The sequence below is a fragment of the Homo sapiens genome, chromosome 4 (genome assembly GCF_000001405.40).
Source record: "Homo sapiens chromosome 4, GRCh38.p14 Primary Assembly".
Classification (NCBI taxonomy): domain Eukaryota; kingdom Metazoa; phylum Chordata; class Mammalia; order Primates; family Hominidae; genus Homo; species Homo sapiens.
This window is the reverse complement of record NC_000004.12, coordinates 14909464-14932717: the sequence shown is the minus strand read 5'-3', so window position 1 is coordinate 14932717 and position 23254 is coordinate 14909464. Positions and strand designations below refer to the sequence as shown.

At 37.9% G+C, this 23254-nt stretch overlaps 1 long non-coding RNA gene across 1 annotated transcript in view; it reads left to right on the top strand.

Moving 5' to 3' along the window:
* Positions 1 to 22757, top strand: part of CPEB2-DT (CPEB2 divergent transcript) — a 92085-nt gene extending 69328 nt beyond the window's left edge. The window contains exon 8 of the long non-coding RNA NR_038857.1: positions 21950 to 22757. This is a non-coding gene — a long non-coding RNA (CPEB2 divergent transcript). The remainder of the gene's footprint in view (positions 1 to 21949) is intronic.
* The last annotated feature ends 497 nt before the right edge of the window (positions 22758 to 23254 follow it).

Genomic DNA, 23254 nt, shown 5'->3' with positions numbered 1-23254 from the left:
TTAAGATAATACGAAGTTCTCTAACAAATAAACTCCCAAATTTTGGTGGCTTAATGTAAGAAAAGTTTATTTCCTTCTCAGTTGAGAATATAATGGGGGTGTTTCTGCTTCATAGACAACTTCCCTTCAAATAGTGATTCAGAGACCCAGACTCTCCCCATCTTGGGGTTCTGCAATTTTCCTAAGATCTCAGAGTTCTCTGCCTCCAGCCAGTAGAAAGGAAACAAGAGAGTAGAAAAGCAACATCCACATCTTAATCACCATCACCTGGACATACATCACTTATATTCATATTCCACTGCAAGACCAGTCAGTTGGTCCCTCACTGATGCAAAAAGGCAAGGGAAGTGTAGTCCCTGGCTGGGCAGCTCCTTACCAGAGATAGCTCTATTCTGTAGAAGAAGGAGCAGAAATTTTGGGTGAAGAGTAAGCCATCTCTGCCATGCTCTGTTATTAGGAGACACTTTATATCAAACATGTATAGATGAAAATGATAATAATACTTAGAATACCCACCATTTATTACCTATAATGACTCTTTTTGTCATAGGAATGGTATGTGTATGTATGTGTGTGTGTGTGTATATATATATATAATATATATATTATATATATAAAATATATATTATATATATAATATATATATTATATATATAAAATATATATAATATATATTAAATAAATATATATATAATATATATTAAATAAATATATATATACACATACATAAGTGTATATATATTTAAGTAAATGTTAAAATGTTGAGAGTATTTGAAGGAGAGAGAGAGGGGACCAGAGGAGACTCCATCAAGTAAAAGAGCTTGATTGGGCCTTGGAAGATTTGGACATGCAGCAAAGCTCAAAGAGGTAGTACAGGAAGAAGCCAGAGGAAAATAAGTGCAAGGTTTAGTAGAGAGTGACTATCTCCTTCAAATTTGCATGTCAAATATGTAAAGAGGAATAGTACGAATTAAAGATAAGAAGGTAGATAGAATTCAAATTCAGGTTAAAATGAGAAACAAATGTCTGGCTTTATTATACCAGCAATGGAGAATAGAGGAGTGATATAATCAGATTTGCAGTTAAAAGCATTTATCTGGAAGTCTTGTGAAAGAGGACTTGAAGAGAGAGTAATTGAAACCGGGGACATGAATTAGAAGACTAATATAATAAAGGGAGAGGTGACCAAGATTTGAGCTAGAAAATGATGGTAGAAATGAAGTAGATGAGAGGAATGCAAAAATGTATAATGGAGATAAAATAAATACTGTTGATTGTGTTTGTGGGGCAGAGGGTCAGGGGTATAAAATAGAATCTTAAGTGCGCTAATTTAGGTGACTGGGAGAATGATGGTGACATTAGTAGAAGTGAGGAAGGGAAGATGAGTATGGAGAAGGAAATGGGGGGTGGTTAATTTTATTTTGGACATTAGTAATAGAATATTTGTGTGGGAGAGCCTGTTGATGTTGACCAACAGGTGGTTGTCAATTTTGGACTAGCGTTAAAGAGAGAGCATCAGTTAAATCAGCAACATTTCTTGTGAGATGTGGATTTGCAAGGATTATTTGAATGGGGAGGTGAGAGACTAATTGGTAAGCTCATTGGACTGGAGGTACAGTGTCTTAGTAACAAAATACCATAGACTGGGTGCCTTACGTAACAGAAATTTATTTTCTCACCGTTCTGGAGGCTAGAAGTCCATAATCAGGGTGACGGCTGATTTGGTGAAGACTCTCTTCTTGGGGTGCAGACAGCCATCTTCGCTGTGTCCTCACATGGCAAAGAGAAAGAGGAAAAGGAAGCAAGCTCTCTGCTGTTTCTTCCAATAAGGACACTAAACCCAACATAAGGACCCCACCCTCATGAAATAATCTAACTCTAATTACTTCCCAAAGGTTCCATCTCCAAATACCATCACATTGGGAATTAGGGCTTCAACATATGAATTTTGAGGGGACACAACATTCAATCTATAACACACAGGTATCCAAGTCTGAAGAAAAATAGTAGAAGTTAGAGTAGGGAAGATTCTTCCTGATAGAAGTTTATTAGAAAAGTCACAATCGATTGAAGTTGAAAATGTTCAGGGGTTCCATTATATTAAGACAAAGTAATAGGCAGACACTTAATACCCTAATTGGTCATTAGGGAGAAGCCAGGAATGTGGAAATGCTACCCCTCTCTAGCTCACGAAGTTGAAAATGTCTGCCACAACAAGAAGTGAATTTTGACCTTACCCAGTATAAAATTAACTTCTCAGTTCATTTCTCAAAACTGAAAAAACAGTTTTAATACCTTTAACATAAGTGTTATCCATAAGTGTTATCCAATCAATACAGTTTATTTGGCATGGTCTCCTAGATAAGTAGAGGCCTGGAATAGCCCCCTAGAGATGATCTGAGATTGCTGTCTTTCAAACTGTGTTTCATCCCAAGGATGAAGAGAAGGTACCTCAGGGTTGACCCGGGATGTGAGAGTAGTCAGAGCCTGAGATAGAATCAACACCGTTCATATCTCTCCTACCCCTTCTACTCATCAACCAGGCCAGAGCCACACTTATTCTGTTATATATTAGGCTTCTGGCTAAGACTTCATCTGAAGAAAAGATTTCATGCTCTCTGTCTATGGGCACATGTATGCCTAGCCATGTCATGTCTGTATCTAACAACTATGTGAAAAACAACACCTAGACCAGAGCCTGCCAACTTTTTCTGTACTTGGCCAGATGTAATTTAAACCTTTGGAGGCTGTACAGTCTCTGTCATAACTATTTAATGATGCTGTTGTAGCATGAGAGCTGTCATAGACAATACATAGAAAAATGAGCATGACTGTGTTGCAATAAAACTTTATTCGCAAAAACACATGGTGGATTTGCTTGTAGATCTTTGATGTTGATCAACTTCCCTCTTGTTTTATATATTGAGAAATAGAGGTAGAGTGAGGCTAAGAGACTTACCAAAGGTAATAAAGTGGTGAGTAGTAGTCATGAGAATGAAACTGCAGTCTCCTTATTCATTTCAGTCACCCCCTATTCTACCTCATGCATGTTCCATCTTTGTCAAAATCCCTCAAAGTGTTGTTCTGGTGCCTTGAACATGCTGTCAGATTAATTAGTTGGTTTTGTATCTTTATTATGTGCCCTCTTCACAAGCCAAATGATTTGCTGTATTATCTCTTTTAATACTCATGACAGCCCTGTAATGTTGATATCATTATTCTCCATTTTACAAAGAAGAATATGGAAGTTTAGAGACATGTTCAAGATCGCACTTTAATGAACCTCTTTAATAGTCCTGATTGGCTCAGGCTGCTAACCTTACAATTTATCGTCAACTCATCCTTTTCTCTTGGAGTCCCTAGAGTCAATTCATAGCAAGTTGTTTCAGCTTTCAAAACATTCAGGATTCAGCCACTTCTCATCACCTCCAGTATTACTATTTTGGCCTAAACTGCTGTCACCTCTCCCCAGGATTGCTGCAACGGCCATCTAGTAGGTCTCCCTGCCCCCAGCTTTATACACTTAAGGTCTATTCCCACCATAGTCGCAAGAGTGATTCTGTTAAAATATGAGATAGATCCTGGCACTTGTCTTCTAAAACCCTGCCAGGGCTACTCATGTCACTCAGTAAAGGCAGAAATCCTACCATGTCCCTTATGGCCCTGCATACTCTGCCCCAGCCTTAACTCTCTTACTACTCTCCCCCGCCAACTCTTTGCCTACCTCCTGGGCTTCCTTGCTGGCCCTGGACAGAATAGGCATGGCCTCTCTTTAGGGCCTTGTGTCTAGCTGTCCCTGTCTCTGCATTGCTTTCCCTCCCCTACGCCATGTCCACAAGCCCGCCCAACTCTCTCACTGCTCCTGGTCTCTGCTAACCTGTGGGCTTCTCAGTGAGGTTCACCTTGACAGCCTTATTGAACACGGCATTCGAAATTCCTGGGCCCCTGGCCCTGCTCTGTGTTTTCTTTTTCCCATAGCACTGGCCAGCTTCTAACATACTATGCAATTTATTTGTTATGCTTATTGTTCATTGTCTCTCTCCCTCCACAAGCCCCGACCAATCAATGTCCTTGAGGGTAGGGATCTATATTTTGTCTGCCTTTTTCTCTCTAAGGCTGTGAACAGTGTTGGGCCCTAAGTAGGCGCTGAATATATCTTTATTGAATGAATGAATAAACCTGACTCTCTTATTTCAAGGCTTTGTTCTTAATTACTGAATTATATGGCCAAAGAAGTAAGATATTAAATAAATAAATGAATAAATGGAATGAATGAGTCCTCTAGTAATTTGGGAATTCTCTGGGCCCTGGGATTGTCTCTTAATCATGTGAGTATGCCTGGAACAAAGCAGGTGCTTAGTAAGTGCTTACAGAATTAAATTACATCCTGCAGGCACCAATTCTGACATTTGGGAGGCCCTGTTACCCCATAAAATGCTTCCCTCCTGTTTTGGCCCATCATGACCATAATTATACTTCTCTTAGCCAAAAAAGCCCTTTGTCCCTTGGCTGAGGTTCAGACCCTGCTGCTTCCAGCCAGACTGGACAACAAAAAGGAGCTTCAGAAGGAAGGACAACAGTCAATTTCTTTCTGCAGAATTCCTCCCAAGCTGCTTAAGCCTCTTTCCATGTCCCCCCATTTTAAACCTTTTTGCTTTCTTTGCTCTGAAGGATTCTAGCGACAGTCCAAAGAGGTGACTCTGGCTGGATAGTATAAGGAGAGTATAATCCTTCCTGGGGGAAGGATTCCCCAGGAAATGAGTATTAGGGGCTCCTTTTCCTGCCTTTTATCAAAGATTTTCCAGAAGCCAGATATTAGCACAAATTCAAGGAAAATAACAATTTGCTACTTACAAAAGAGCAGCTTTGTAGCAGCAAACTTGCTGTCGATGTTAAATCTGAAGACAAAGCCCTGATAACTCCTTCTAATGCTATTTCACCTCCACACTCTATCCTTAAAGTTGAATCTTTAACACAACACATGCTGAGTGTCAGAAAACTGCAGGTAGCAATCCTACCACTGAGGAAAGTTTAATATACCTCCCCGAGTGGAGAAACACAAAGGTAGTGGAAAGTAGGGATTTAAACCAGGGTCTACAAAAAGACACATGCACTTGTATGTTCATCGGCACCCTATTCACAATAGCAAAGGCATGGAATCAACCTAGGTGCCCATCAGCAGTGGATTGGATAAAGAAAATGTGGTATATCTACAGCATGGAATATTACCCAACAACAAAAAGAAAGAAATAATGTCCTTTGCAGTAACACAGATGCAGCTGGAGGCCATTACCCTAAGTGAATGAACGTAGAAATAGAAAACCAAATACTACATATTCTCATAAGTGGGAGCTAAACATTGGGTACGAATGGGAATAAAGTGGCAACAATAGACACTGGGACTGCTAGAGAGTGAAAGGAGAGAGGGAGGGCACAATGACTTAAAAGCTATCTATTGGGTCGTATTCTCAGTACTCCAAACCTCAGCATCACTCAATATACCCAGGTAACAACTGCACACACATACCCCCGAATCCAAAATAAAGTTGAAATTACATAAAACAAAAGCAAAAACAACCAGGATATATCTGGTTCCAAGGCTATTTTTATTCATTGGCTCATTCATTCATTCGTTCATTCCTTAATCACATGTTTATGGAGCACCCACTGTTGGCCAGGGACCATTCTCAGATCTTGAGAGACAGTCATGAACAAAGCAGATAAAAGTTCCCGCCTTTGAGAGGCTTTTACATTCTAGTAATGAAATACAGATGATAAAAAGTAAACAAAATTTTAAAAAATATGTATGGACAAAAAAGAGAAAGAAGAGCAGGTAAGGGAAATTGAGACTGCGGGGCAGGGGAAATTTGCAGTAGGAAATCCAATGTGCTGGATAGACTTCATTGAGAATATTGGATATGATCAGGGTTGAAGGAGGCAATGGAGTTCACCCAGAGGATGTTTGAGGAAAGAGCATTTCTGGTGGAGGAGTGGCTAGGGCAGAGGCCCTCAGACAGCAGGCATGTGCCTGTGTGTGTGTGGCCAGCCCAGTGACTGGTTTGGCTGGAGTAGAGTGAGTACACGGGAAGGGCAGATCATAAGGACCCCAGAGAGCATTGCAAGGGCTCTGTGAGGACTTTGGGTTCTCTTGGGGAAGAGTCACTGCAGGGTTTTGTGCAGAGGAGCAGCTGCTTCATGTCTTTACAGTCTCTCTGGCTGCTCTGTGGAGGCCAAGGTTGTGTCAAGGTTGAAAGCAGGCAGACCGTTGAGAGCCTGTTGTAATATTCCAGGCAAGAGACAATGGTGGCTTAGACACAGTGTCCAGGGTGGAGGAGCTGCCTTTCTTCTGACGCAGCTCCTCTCCCATCCACCTTCCTCTCTCCTGATGACATGTTTATAGAATCTCATACAATTAGTTCCTCCTGGGTAAGGTGGCCTTTTCTTTCTCCCCTCTGTCCATTGGCTCAGGTCTTAACTCCTCTTCTCAGCTGCCCTGCACCACGCACTCCAATCCTGGCCCTGAACTTTGTATCTCTGGCCTCTTCTGTGGCCCTATTTTGTGCCCAGGGCTCACCCACAGCAGCCCCAGAGCTCTCTCTTGCCTGCCTGTCCTGGTTGGTTGTTGCTATATTCCCTGTCAACCATTTCCCCTGTTTCGCCTAATCTGTGGGATATTGCAAAACAAAAAGGCACAAGTGTGCTAGCTAATGCATCAATTTGGGACAAAGCAGGTGCTTCTACCATCCCAAATCCAGGAGGATGGCAAACTGACTCCCAGTTTCCACTTCTTCCAGCCAGGGATCATCAGTGCTTGTCTCGAGGGGCTGTCCTATCAGCCAATGGGACAATACATGGGGCGTTACATTGCAGCAAGAATGTTGCATAGATGATAGGGAAGGGGAAGGAAGAAGATGTTCAGCACACACTATGTGTCATGCACTTTGTCTCCAGTATGTTATGGAACTGTCACAAGGACTCTGTGGGTTGGTTCTAGCATTCATTGTTCACTGATGAGGGAATGAAAAATAAAACAACCTGCACTGAGCCTATAGTTGACTCCAGTCATGAGGGTGTGAGCAACCTCCAAAGTAGAAAGATGTTCCATGTCTGGAGAAGACAACAGATTCCTTGTTTAAAAAGGAAAAATACGATATTAAAAGGACGGCGTGGTTTCTCAGGCTGGAGTGTGACTCAGTCATCACGTTAACTCAGCAGTGTTGCCAGAGCTTCAGCCAGTGCCAGGCTGTGGAGAGGTGGGCACCCAGGCCAGGGCTCCCACAGCCTATTCCAGGCACTTCTCCTTGGCCCACATAAGGAAGGGGTATGTGAGGGTGTGTGAGTTCTTTCCCATGACACCAAAATGCAACTATGCAGAAAGGATGCATGGCTTGGGGCTGGAAAAACATTTACAACAACCTGACAATGGAATCCATCTGTCCAGGTCTAGCTAGGTGTGGCAGGTGAGGCAAGAGTCCCACCTAATGATACAAGAGCTCCTTTTCATCGTCTGTGGTTAGGTTTTTCCCCACTGCCAAGGAGGTGCAAGGTGCATGGTCAGGGGGACTACGCCTGTGGTGCAGGAATGCACTGAGAAGGTGCTGCCCAGGTAGCCCTGCCCTGCATGTGTGAATCACCCAGTTAGAAGGCCATTCCTGGCTGGTTTGCATCTTGTCAGCATTTTACAAACTGGTAATTCTCTTGCTCAGAATGTGTCTCCCCCTTGCCAGAGTCTGGAAATGTGGCCAAAGAATTTGGCATTTTCAAAGCCAAGAGCCTTCTTATTTCATCTATCATAGGGGCTTTCTGAGAGCTGGCAGAGTTGTGGCTTTGAGGGCGAAATTTTTGTGTCAACTTGGCTAGACTATGGTGACCAGTTGTTTGGTAAAGCATGAGTCTAGATGTTCCTGTGAAGGTACTTTGTAGATGTGATTAATATTTACAATCAGTTGATAGTAAGTAAAGTAGATTATCCTCCATAATGTGGATGGGCCTTGTCAAATCAGTTGAAGACTTTCAGAGTGAAGACTAAGGTTTCCTAACAAGAAGGGATGTCTGCCTAGAGACTGCAACATAGAAATCCTGCCTACATTTCCAGCCTTCAATCTCAAGACTGCATTATTTCTCACCTGATCTTCAGCCTGCTTGCTTGCCTGATAGATTTTGAACTTGCCAGCTCCCACAGTGGCGTGAACCAATTTCTTAAAATCATCCTTCTATCTCTTTCCCCCTTGCCCTACATAGGTACAGTCATGTACCACATAATGATGTTTCAGTCAACAACTGCATATATGATGATCTTAGAAGATTATAATGGAGCTGCCCTACACAGGTGTACAGTATTTAAATGTTTCACATTGTGTTTCTGCTGTTTCTATGTTTAGATACATAAACACTTAACGTTGTGTTACAATTTCTTACAATATTCAGTACAGTAATATGCTGTATAGTTTGTAACCTAGGAGCAACAGACTATACCATGTAGCCTCTGTGTGTAGTAAATTATAGCATCTAGGTTTTTGTACGTATACTCTAATGTTTACACAATGACAAAATCATCTAATGATACATTTCTCAGAGCATGTCACTGTCATTAAGTGACAAATAACTATAATGTGTAAGTGTGTGGGGTATGTGGATACATACATATACATGCATATGTGTGTGTATATATATAAAATATATAATAGTGTATATATATAAAATATATATAAAATATATAATATATTATAAATATAATGTATAATATATAAAATATATGATATATAATATTATATATTTTATTATATTATACATTATATAATATATAATATAATATATCATATAATATATCATATAATTATATATAAATATATAATATAATATATAATATCATATATTATTAATTATATATAAATATATGATATATTATATATTTATATATAATATATGATATATTATATATTTATATATAATTATATGATATATAACTATATATACATATATATATTTATATATAATTATATGATATATAACTATATATAAATATATATATATTTATATATAATTATATGATATATAACTATATATATTTATATATAATTATATGATATATAACTATATATATTTATATATAATTATATGATATATAATTATATATAAATATGTATAATTATATGATATATAATTATATATATTTATATATAATTATATGATATATAATTATATGATATATAATTATATATATATAATTATATGATATATAATTATATATATAATTATATGATATATAATTATATATATATAATTATATGATATATAATTGTATATATATAATTATATGATATATAATTATATATATTTACATATAATTATATGATATATAATTATATATATTTATATGATATATAATTATATATATATTTATATATAATTATATGATATATAATTATATATATATTTATATAATTATATGATATATAATTATATATATATTTATATATAATTATATGATATATAATTATATATCTATAATTATATGATATATAATTATATATATAAATATATGATATATAATTATATATATTTATATGATACATAATTATATATATATTTATATATAATTATATGATATATAAATATATATAATATATATTATGTATTTATATAATATATATTATATTATTATATAAATATATAATATATGAGTATATATTATATTATTATATAAATATATAATATATGAATATATATTATATTATTATATAAATATATAATGTATGAATATATATTATATTATTATATAAATATATAATGTATGAATATATATTATATTATTATATAAATATATAATGTATGAATATATATTATATTATTATATAAATATATAATGTATGAATATATATTATATTATTATATAAATATATAATGTATGAATATATATTATATTATTATATAAATATATAATATATGAATATATATTATATATTATATAAATATATAATATATGAATATATATTATATTATTATATAAATATATAATATATGAATATATATTATATATTATATAAATATATAATATATGAATATATATTATATTATTATATAAATATATAATATATAAATATATATTATATTATATAAATATATATTATATTATATAAGTATATAATATATAATATAATAAAATATATATCTTATATATAAAATATATAATATTATATATTATATATTATACATTATATTTATATTATATATTTTATATAAGATATATTTTATATATTATATATAATATATAATATATTATATAGAATATATATTATTTATATCATATATAATATATTATATATTATATAGAATATATATTATTTATATTATATATAATATATAATATATTATATAGAATATATATTATTTATATTATATATAATATATAATATATTATATAGAATATATATTATTTATATTATATATTATATATTATTTATATAATATATTATATATATTATATACATTATATATATACACAATATTATATATTTTATATATATACACACATATGCATGCATATGTATGTATCCACATACCCCACACATTTACACATTATAGTTATTTGTCACTTAATGACAGTGACATGCTCTGAGAAATGTATCATTAGATGATTTTGTCATTGTGTAAACATTAGAGTATACGTACAAAAACCTAGATGCTATAATTCACTACACACAGAGGCTACATGGTATAGCCTGTTGCTCCTGGGTTACAAACTGTACAGCATTTTACTGTACTGAATATTGTAAGCAATTGTAACACAACGTTAAGTGTTTATGTATCTAAACATAGAAAGAAACAGCATAAACACAATGTGAAACATTTAAATACTGTACACCTGTGTAGGGCAGCTCCATTATAATCTTCTAAGATCATCATATATGCAGCTGTTGATTGAAACATCATCAATATATTATATCATCAAAAATATAATATATTATATATATAAAATATGTATATACATACAGACACACACACCGTTTTCCTTTGGCATCTGTGGGAGATTTGTTTGAGGACCCCCTGCAAATACCAAAATCTGTGACTGCTCATGTCTCTGATGTAAGATGGCATAGTATTTGTATGTAACCTACAAACATCCTGTGGTATACTTCAAATTATCTCTGAATTAGTTATAATATCTAGTACAATGTAATTACTATGTAAATAGTTGTATTGTTTTTTAAAGTTTTATTTTTATCGTTGTATTGTTATTTACTATTTTTTTCTCTGAATATTTTCCATCTGCAGCTGGTTGAATCTGCAGTTATATATAATAATTATAGAATCTATAATAATTATATATAATGTAATTATAATAATATATAACATTGCTATAATACAATATAATAATATGAAATATCTATATGGATTTCTGAACTACTGAAGTATTATAGTTTGGGAACTGCGAAAACTTCCTCAGGACTCCTGAAGTCCTTCAGAATTCTAAAATTTCAAGCATTCCTCATTTGCACATATGGATGATGGAACCCTGCCTTGAGTCAGGCCTACAGTCTGGTACCTGGTTCAGGAGCAGGATGTGACTGAAGAGTAGAATCTTAGCCAGTGAGGCTTCCCTCTGTAGACTTGCTCAGCTGCCTCCCTGTGGGGCCATGGCTCCAGGGAGCTCCATAGCCTGCATCTCTGTTTGTCTTCTGGATCTGTCCTTCCAAACACCTGGCAGAGGTGATGGACTGCCCAAGTGATACTGTTTCTCTATTACTTCTTTTTGTTTTTGTTTCTGAGATGGAGTCTCACTCTGTCACCTAGGGTGGAGTGCTCTGGCATGATGTCAACTATCTGTAACCTCCGCCTCCTGGGTTCCTGCCTCAGCCTCCCTAGTAGCTGGGATTACAGGTGCCTGCCACCATGCCCGGCTAATTTTTTTGTATTTTTAGTAGAGACAGGGTTTTGCCATTTTAGCCAGGTTGGTCTCACTCCTGACCTCAGGTTATCCATCCACCTCACCTCGGCCTCCCAAAGTGCTGGGATTACAGGCGTGAGCCCCCGCACCTGGCCTTGTTTCTCTATTACTTCTTGAGACACAGTTATCTCCAGGTAATCCTACAGTGGCAGTTATCCATCCATCCATCCATCCAACATAGATTTATCCAGCACCTTCCTTCTACCAGCTCTTGTTCTGGTTGCTTCTGGGGGAGGGCACATGAATGCACAGATAAGCTATTTTGGAGCTCTGTGGTCTAGAGAGGTCCTACCCTTGAGGCCCACAGAGGGAAATTCTAATCTCCTTTTCCCCAGACAGCCTCGGCACTGCTGACCATCTGCTTGTGTTCCTTCTTGCATCTCTTTGGACGCAGGAGCATGCTTAACAGCACTGTGGCTTACCACTGTTGCCATCCTTGGCTACATGTCTTCCTGTTCCATCTTGACAGTTGAGGGTCTAGGAGTTCTTCAGGGAACCCCCGCTGGGGTTTGCAGTCATCTCCCTTTCCCACTCCTCTCTGGAATTGGCTTGCTAGTAGGAACTGATGTTGACCCATCCCTTTCCCTGATCCTCAGGCTGTTTGATCATGACTGTATTTCTTGAAGATTCCTTTTCTTCTGGTGTGATCTTTTTTGAGGACCAGCCCCAGCCTGGAGGCCCAGACAGAGCTCTAGAGAAAGAGCATCTGGACAGACACATCTGCTATCCCACTGGCCTCACTGCTCCCACTTCGCTCTCAGGCCCAGGCTCTTGCTGCTCAAATACCACCATGGCATACCTGCATCCGTGGTGGTGGCGCGAGCCAGGCTTCCTGGTCTTTCCCTTCCCTTCTGGATGTAATTTCATGTCTCCCCGTTGGAAAAGAGATTGACATGAAAACCAAAATTAAAATACTGTCATAAGTGCCAGGAAGCGGCAGCTATAGTTTTCTGTACGGCCTCCTGGAGCCTGAGGTGGCAGGTCAGGTCAGGTTCAGCAAAGGTCTGCGAGCGAACGGGTGGGAAATAAGAGATCTGAGTGGTAAAAAGGAGTCAGAGAGATAAATGGACGGTGGGGAAAAGAGTTTTAGGCACAGTGAACACCAGCTGTGGCAGCACAGTGAGAAGACATTGAGATGTGGTCAAAAACCTGGACTCAGTTTGTGTAGCAGGAACACTGGGCAGGAGAGATAAAACACTATGGGGTCCAGCACTTTGGGAGGCCGAGGTGGGCGGATCACTCGAGGTCAGGAGTTTGAGACCAGCCTGGCCAACATGGTGAAACTCCAGCTTACTAAAAATACAAAAATCACCCGAGCATGGTGGCACGCACCTGTAATCCCAGCTACTTGGGAGACCAAGGCAGGAGAATTGCTTGAACCAGGAGGCAGAGGTTGCAGTGAGCCGAGATCATGCCACTGCACTCCAGCCTGCGCCACAGAGCAAGACTCCATCTCAAAAACATAAAAATAAATAAATAAATAAAAAACACTATGGGGCTGTTTCTCATCCTGGAGTACAAAGAGAAGCACCTTAACTTGACATTGCTTTCTCAGAGAAGTGAGGCTTCTCTAGTGATGACACTTTCTGGCACCCTGGCATCCTACCTGCGTAGGGTAAGATGGATACCTTCAAATTACCATTTCTTGTTCCACTCCCCTTACACAATGAGCTAGTTCCTAAAAATTTGCATTGCAAAATCATGAAGATACTCTAACTTCAATTCTGTGAACACATACACGAGAAGGAAAAGAAGCTGGGAAGCACATATGCAAAAGGTGGTCATTGGTTAAGGTGAGTGCCGTTTGGTTGGTTTAATTCTTGGCTTTATTTTTTGTGTTTACTTTTGTTTACTTAACTTTAAAATTATATTTAAAAATTATATTTGAGTCATATTCAAACAGCTCCTCCCCCAGTACATATTCTGGGTCTAATTTCTAGGTTGCAGCATAAGACACTTATCCTCCAGGTGGAATTAGTCTTGTAGCAGAGGCTCTACTAGGAAGTGATAAGGCCACATACTAAGGTCTCCAGGAATATAGGTGATTTTTCTGCCGGTGGCAAGGAGTGTTATCCCAGATCAGCCTAATAAATTTGCATTCATGGCACCCGTTAGGGTGTCTTCTTTGTGGTGATTGCTAGTTTAGAAAATGGAAGGAAAAATTCAGCAAGGCTGTTTGTGATGTGGCTGCAGAATTCCCTGATGGCTGAGAGTCCCAGAAAGCTGTGTGTCCAGCATACAATATCCTTTGTTTAAGCATCTGCATTCTTCCCCCAAGCAGGCTGTCAGGGAGGCAGTCACACCCCATCTCTCACTCCGTTCAGGCAGGAATCGAAGCACAATTTGGCCTCTTTGTCATTTTCAAAAATCAAACCTGCCTAGGGACCAAGTTCCAGCAGCAGCTGTTTTTGCTTTATGCTTTATTTAAAGACATTTAATTTTGAATCCTGTATGTTTTCAATGATATTTTTAATTTTTGGTAGAGCAGACTGTGTACATGTATAAAATATCCTTGATTTATATAGAGGAGTTCTTTCATTAGCTGACTTTTTTTTTTTAGGATAAAGGCAGATTAATGATCCTAATTAATAACTAAGTGATTATAGCTTTTTATTGTTTTAATTATTTCTTAAAAATAATAGTAATTAAATATCAAATATATTAAATTATTACTTTATGGACAGCTTTGTGTCAGATAGTTTACATACATTTTCTCATCAGGCTTTATCAGAATCTTACAAAGTGGACGGAGAAACTAATGTCCATTTTATGAATAGAGTCTCAGGAAGGGTAAGTGGCTTGTTCAAGTTCTCGTGTCCAATGAGTAGGGAAGCTGAGATTTTTAACCCAGGTATGTCTGATGCCACATAACATACATAATGTGATATTACATGTATACTGTACATGTATATTTATGTGTGTGTGCATACCTATATATTATATTATTTATATGTGATACCCAAACTTCCAAATCACATTTTCTCCTCATCTCTTTCATTTTCTTTTTTCTCTCACTTTTTCTATCTCTTGGCCTCTTCGCTCCTTCTGATGGTTGACTAACCGTGCTGTCATTCATGGGCTGTGATCTGAGAGGACAAAGTGTTAAAGCATTTCCCATCTTATGTGGACTTCCCAGCTCACCTATGCCCAAAGTGGATTGAGCCCCTGATCCTGAGGCCAGAGGACCTGGGATCATATGTCATTTCTTTTTTGTTCTAGCCTCATATATTTGGGCAAGTCTTGCAGCTTCTCTGAGCCTCAGCTTCCTTATCTCATGTGTTGGCTGAGGCTCACAAGAGCTGGTGTCCTGTGTGCCTGCCAAAGTTATCATGAGGATTCAATGTGAGGATAGATGTGAAAGCAGTTTATGAGCTGTAAAGTGCAATGGTCACTCTATTGTGTTCTCTGGGCTGCACGTCCTCTGTGATGAGAGTTTATCTGGGAGGCAGGAAAGTGAGGAAAAAAGGAATCCCTGCAAAGCCAGCCCCACAGATGAGTAGGAATTAGAAAGGTCATGTGGGATCCAGCAAAGCATCCAGGAGGCAGGATTAGTCATCATCCCGAGGCAGAGGCACTTGTTTGTTTCTACTCCAGGAATTTGTCATCGTCACAATTCCACCACTCCCTGCCTCTGCTTATTCTGAACCTGCCATTACTGACCAGCTTATTTCTATTCCTATCTCTCAGCCTTGTGGCTTTTGCTGCCTCATGCCGTTGTCTGTGTCCTGTCTTTTGCACCCAGCCTCCTCTCTGAGTTAGTTCTGCCTTTGTTTGTGTTAAGGACCGCTGGCTCATTCTGTAGGTCTCACACTTCTACTGCCTGGGGAGAAGGTTCAGTTTGCTATCATCAGTGTTGTGCTGGTAATGTTTAATAACTGGTTCTCTGTGGGAGGTTGGGTGGGGGTAGGGGAAACCCTGACACCTGTGTGTTGCCAATTTCCTTGGCACAAATACTCCTACGAGAGATGGTTTCAAGCTGTCAACATAACGTCACCTGGCTCCTCAAATCCTGAAAATGGAACAGTTGGGGCCCATAAGCTAGCATAAGCCAGCTCCAGCATATCACTGTCACCCCTGTCTGCTGCCTCATAGCTGCTGGTCAGTCTAGGGATTGGCTGGTCTTGAACTGGGGTCGTATCCTGGTCCATTTAGCTGTGGTCAAGGTATCAGGATTACACATTTAACTTCTCTCTGAAAGTCCTGTGGACAGAGGAACTTTCCAGTTTATTTGTTTGACTCTCATTTTACAGACGTCTCTGTGACTTCAATAAAATAAGGGGAGAGATAGAAAAGGAGGGTAAGTAAATATAAATTAGAAAATGATTAATGCCACAATAAAGGTGTAAAAGATGTAAAATGAGGGTTCAGAGACAGGAAATGTCACTTGGTGGCAAACAAGGAAGACTTTATGGAGCGGATAACATTTTAACAGAGACTTCAAGAATGATAGGGTTTGGAGAGGTAGAAATAGAGGAGAAGGTGTTCAAGATACAAAGAAAAAGGTTTGAACAGAAGTGTGCAGTGAGGAGGCATGGAATAGGTATGGAGTTTGTGAAGAGGAAAGAGTGATCCTATTAGGAAGAAAAGTTGGACCAGGCATAGTGGCCCATGCCTGTAATCCTAGCATTTTGGGAGGTCACGGTGGGCAGATAGCTTGAGTTCAGGAGTTCAAGACCACCCTAGGCAACATGGTGAAACACCATCTCTACAAAAAATATTATTAAAAATATCTATATTATAAATTATATTGTATTAGGTTGGTACAAAAGTGTGCTTTTTGCAATTATTAATACTTTTAATGGCAAAAACTCACTTACTTTTGCACCAAACTAATACAAAAATTAACCAGGCATGGTGGTACACACCTGTGGCTACTTGGGAGGCTGAGGTAGGAGGATCACCTGAACCCAGGAAGTCGAGGCTGCAGTGAACCATGATCATGCCACTGCACTCCAGCCTGGGCAGTAGAGTGAGACCCTGAGACCCTGTCTCCAAAAACAAAAGTAAAAACAAACAAAAAAATAAAAAAGAAGAGAAAAGTAGAGGACTTTTAGGTGTGTCAAATAAGCCTGAAATATCTTATACTGCTTTTCTGAGGTACTGTTTGCAAATAAAAGTGAAATACAAAATACAAATTATAAGGCTATTATGTATTATTATTACATGGGTCTATTGGAATAGAGTCTTGAGAGCTTATGAGAGTAAGATTTTGTTGAGTCACATAAATTGGTTCTGATCCTCCAGTTTTTCAAATAGATGATACTATTGTGGGTATTAGTTCTTGCACTGAATGGTGTCAGCAAGTTGAGGCAGAGCATTGGTGAGAATAAGACTGGGCTGAATCTGGATGAATAGAGATCCTGCCTTGTTGCCAACTCAAGGAATGACCTGGGCAAGTCATTTCTTTTCCAGCCTCGGTCCCTCCTCATGCCTGTAATCTTGCAGGGTGGTTATTTGATGGTTGCTTTCATAGCCTTCCCACGTCTATAATTACATACACTTGACCTCTTCAACTTTATTTTAAATGAAGTCATTCATTATTTGAGGACTGGCAAAGAGCAAAATTCTCCATGCCCTCAACATGGAGATCCTTCCCTTGAGAAAGAGCTGCAACTGGAAGCACTGCCAAGATTCACATGTCATGGGGGAGGAGAATTCTGGTTAACTGAATATCCTTGTCAAAGTGAAGATTAACTAGCATGATCTATTTAAGCCCTTGATGTTAGCAATATATCTAGAGTGTGCTAGTTAACATCTCTAACTTAGGAAAACAGGAAAATAAGAATTGAGAGCTACATATATACACATAGTGTATATATATATATAGTGTATATGTATAGTGTATATATATAATATATACAGCATATATATAATATATACACAGCATATATATAATATCTATATATACAGCTTATATATCATATATAGGTATATATAGCATATATATAATATATATGCTATATATTATATATACTATATATGCTATATATATAGCATGTATATATACTATATATGCTATATATATAGCGTATATATATACTATATACGCTATATATAGCGTGTATATATACTATATATGCTATATATGTATATATACTATATGTATATATACATATATACATATAGTATATATACATATATATGTATATATACATATATACATATAGTATATATACATATATATGTATATATACTATATGTATGCTATATATATAGCTATATAGCGTATATATAGCTCTCAATATATAGTATATATATAGCTATATATATAGCTCTCAATATATAGTATATATATATAGCTATATATATAGCTCACACTCTCTCTCTCTCTCTCTCTCTCTATATATATATATATATATATATGTATGTATATGCCAGCCTCTGTGATAGTCACTAGGAAACAGAATGATAATAATGGCCATCATTTATTGAACATTGAACATTTTATTCTTTGCCAGGTACTGTTCTGAGAGCTTTATGTGCATCATCTCCTTCAATATTCCCAACAAATATGAAAACTAAGCAAACTGTTATAATGCCTTGTAGTGGGTTGAATAGGGATCATCCAAAAATGATACGTCCATATGCAAATCCCCGGACCTGTGATTGTGGCCTTATTTGGGAAGGGGGTCTTTGCGGATGTAATTAAGTATCTTGAGATGAGGAGGTCATCCTGGATTATCCAAGATGGCCCTAAATATAGTGGCAAGTGCCCTTGTAGGAGACACACAGGGAAGAAGCACACAGAAGAGGAGGCAATGGGACCATGGAGGCAGATATTGGGGTGATACAGCCACAGGCCATGGAACACCCAGAGCCCCCAGATGCTGGAAGAGACAAGACACAGATCATCTTCTACAGCCTTCACGGGAGCATGGCCCTGCCAACACCTTGATATCAGACTTTGGGCCTCCAGAATTGTGCAAGCATGAATTTCTGATGTTTCTGTCCACCAAGTTAATGGTAATTTGCTACAGGAGCCATAAGAAACTAAGAAATACCCATTTTGCAAATATGAGAATGAAGCATAGAAGGCCCAATCAACTTACCTAAGATCCCACAGTTAGTAAGAAATGGTTGCAGGAGATTCACCTAGGCATCCTTAGAGTTTGCTTTCAACTTTAATAGACAACTGCACCTCATAATGTCTCTACCCCTAATGAGATATATAAGTGACCAGTTACTCTGAAAAGTGCAATGGAGACTTGGGGCAGACATAGGGTGCAGCTATAGGAGCACAAGATGGGCATATAACCCTGCTTTTGAGGGGAGGCTTGAGTATCAGGGAAGATATCCTAAGGGAAGTGATGATATTGAGCTGATAAAGATTTTTTTTTTTAATTTAAAAAAATTTTAAGTTCAGGGGTATGTGTGCAGGATGTGCAGGTTTGTTACATAGATAAATGTGTACCATAGTGGTTTGCTGCATAGACCATCCCATCATCCAGGTATTAAGTCCAGCATCCATTAGCTATCCTTCCTGATGCTCCCCCTCCTCCCCATTACCCTCTGACAGGCCCCAGTGTGTGTTGTTTCCCCCGATGTGTCCATGTGTTCTCATCATTCAGTTCCCACTTGTAAGTGAGAAAATGAGGTATTTGGTTTTCTGTTCATGTGTTAGTTTGCTGAGGACAATGGCCTCCTGCTCTATCCATTTCCCTGCAAAGGACATGATCTCATTCCTTTTTATGGCTGCATAGTATTCCATGGTGTATATGTACCAGAGTTTCTTTATCCAGTCTATCATTGATGGGCATTTAGGTTGATTCCATGTCTTTGCTACTGTGAATAGTGCTGCAATGAACATACACATGCATGTATCTTTATAATAGAATGATTTATACTCCTTTGGGCATGTACAAGGCACTTAAACAAATTTACAAGAAGATTTTTTATGTTTTTTTTTTTTGAAGAGAATAAAGTGGGGACATTTTTCCAAGCAGAAGGAGCAACCATAGCAGGTGAGAAAGAGCAGCAATATTAAAAAGATTCAGTAGCTGGTCATACATAGCAGGAAGTTGTGGCTAATGTCTGGGAAGCCCTGACTGCAGATCCCATCTTCTTTCATGCTGCCTTCTGGACCGAGAGGCAGGGGAGGTCTTTGTGTCATGCTTTCCCCATTTCTTAGCTGTCTGACCTCTGCAGATTTGCTTAACCACCCTACACCTCAATTCCAGCAGCTGTCAAAAGAGGATAAAAATAATAGTGCCAGCTCTCTCTAACTCGCATAAGAGTCTGTGAGTAAAATCTTTGTAAATGGAAAGGCTTAGAAAAATATGAGTAATTGTTTATGTGATGAGCCTAAGTTTTTCCTTGGAATTTTATTTTTTGAGATAATCTTCCAGTTCAGCACGTTTTCTTGTGATTTGCTGATTTCCCTTAAAAGTCTAGTAGCATAAGTTTTCTCATTAACAGTTTTTTAGACATGGGCTTATTTTAATATTCCTATCCAAATCATTCCAAGCAGTTTTCAAATGTTTTTCTCAAAAGTCCAGTAAAAACTTAATCCATTGATCATGGATTTTCACTGGACATGTGAACACGAGACCTATATTACATTTGCCTCATGAAAGGTGTTCAGAGACACTCTTTACATTAAATTTGGAGATCATAATAGAAGAGACTCCCAGCACCTCAACTGAACAACACAGGTTTGAATTACTTTAGAACATCAGCACCTAGGTGTGGACTACGTCTTCTCATCCTGCAAACTCTGCAATCCAGCACAGCCATGCGTCTTCAATGGAGAAAATGTGGTTGTTTACAATAGGGTGGTATTTGTTCCTCCCTAATCCCTATCCAATTTTACAATTAAACTTTTACCTTGAAAAGCCTAGCATGGGAAAATAAAGAGAACTATAAAATCAGTTATAAATAAAAGCCAGTAGCACATTTTAAAGGCATGGGTGCCTGCATGTGCAATGTAAAGTCACATCATCTTGTATCCTGTCTTTAAAAAATTGTGTAAGAGGTAACAAGAGGTAGCAGAGCAGAAACAGTGAGAGGACAGTTGTGTAATTAGCAAACAAATCTCCTTTCTTGGAGGGGATATACTGTCTGTATTACATAACTCTGCCAAAGTCTCTACAAGGGTGATGAAGACAGTAGGGTACAGTGGAAGGAAAAGTAGCTTGGGAACCAGGCTATTTTTTTTTTAATGTTCTTAAACTCTTGGGCTATTTGGCATTGGGTTTTTATTACATACAACTGTACCTGTGGCTACAATAGTGGGTGTGTAGGGTAGAGGAGGGGGGAAAATAAATTGAGTATATTCATTTTAGCTAGAAAAAGAAATACAAATCCTAATGCCTTGGAATAGATCATCTCAATCTTTTAAATCATTCTAATTGGATATTTTTAGGCCGATTGTCCATACTTGAACCAATCCCTGAGGTCATGGTAATAGAGTCCTCACATTTGTTGTATTATTTGTTCACTCTGGTAGCCAGGATAATGGAGTGGTCAGTATTGGTGATTCACAATGATTTGCTTCCCCATTAGAAAGATGGGCTTTGTTTTCAGAAGAAGAAATGAGTGCTGGGCAGAGAAGGATAATAGATGTCCAGCAATTCTTTGAAACCCTATCAAGCCTTGATGGTAGGGATACTACAGGATCCATGCTTGTTTCTGTGGTTCCCACCACATGCTCCCCAATCATTGTCTCCCACCTGGAGTCACATCTTATTCTTTGTCATTGAGTGCTTAGCTCCCATTTCATCACCTCTGTGGCACCTTCTCTGGCAGCTCTGATCCATAAAGGCCATTTTCTCTGATACAGCACCGTGCTTCACAGATCACCAGTCCACCATAGCTTGCTGAATCTGAATCTCATCCAATCACTTTTCCAGGCCATTTGCTTCCCTTAATGTGTCTCTCATTTCTTTCTGATTCTCCCTCTTCATTACCACCTTAGCTCATTCATTTCTTTTCACTTGGATGAGCGTATATTTTCTTAACTTTCTGCCTCCAGACTAATTTCTCTTTATCTGCGATTTCTTTCAGGGCAATCTTCCCAAAAGGTACACAGCTCTGGACGTACCAACACTCTATTTAAAAACCAGTAAGGTAGAGTGGAAGGCAGAGCTGAGTGAAACTGAAACCTGGTATTTGCTGGAGGTTTCTTTCTGGAAAGCTGACAGCACACCTCTGACCCTCTCCAAAAGGTCTGATATGAAATATTGCGACAAAGTTGGAATCAACTGGCAGGCATTTCAGTAGATGTGCTAATAGCATGCAACAATGGGAAGGCGCCAAAACTGAACTGAGGTGGTGAAATGAGGTAGAGATAAGCAAGTACCGCAAAAAAGGAGGCAAGAGAAATGGCAAAACTGGGGTGGTTCAAAGAAGGAAACAGGGTTTGATGCCAATGGTTATTGTCTGGCTTATTCGAGTAGTTTTTAAAGGGAGAGGAAGGGAGAGGTGTGTCGCTACCTGCTGGTACTGTGGTGTGCCTTTATTGCGTTTGGACATCCAAGCAGACCTATTTATTTGTTCCCTAAGCAAATATTTATTGAATATGTATTATGTCCTAGGCACTGTGTATCAGAAATAACTGCATATATGAGCCTTGGAGGGTGATTGTGGTTGATATGCATTGACATGGGTGAAAGGGAAGAGACATATTTTCAACTTTGTATTTTTCAACACATCCAGCTGCGTGCTTTCAGCCCAGCAGGTGCTCAAAATAGGTTTACTGAGGTGAAAACCAATTCTTGCCTCTAAAGGGTGTTCCATGGTCTCACAGGAATTAGGAAGGAGTGAGGAGCATCTTTAGTAAATAAACAATGTGCTCATAGCATAAAAAATACAACTTTGGGTTTGTTAGACTTTGCTCTGTCTTACTTATTAATTAGAACCCAAATTTCATTCATGTGATTCTTTTTCTTCTCTTTCTTCTTCTTGCTTTCTTATTTTTTTCTGCAAAATTCTCATCAACACATTTCAATGAGTATAAATGAGGACTCCATGTCCCAGGAAACAGGGTAGCCAAGCAGTGAGGTGGCCGCCGGGGAGGAGTAGGGAGAGAATGAGAGAGAGAGAAAGAGAGAGAGAGAGAGAGAGAGAGAGAGAGAGTTATGATGTCTGAATCTCCTGGTGCTTACCAAATCTGCAGAAAATGACCTGATTGCATGAGAAAGATAAGATTGGTGATAAAAGTGCAGATAAATAGGTGTGTGTGTGTGTGTGTGTATAAATATAGGTATGTATGTGTTTGTGTGTATATATACTCAAAGCATGTTGCTTATAGGGATAATGAATGTCTTTGACACTGAGCCTCCCTCACTGACGAAAAATAGAAAGGTGTTC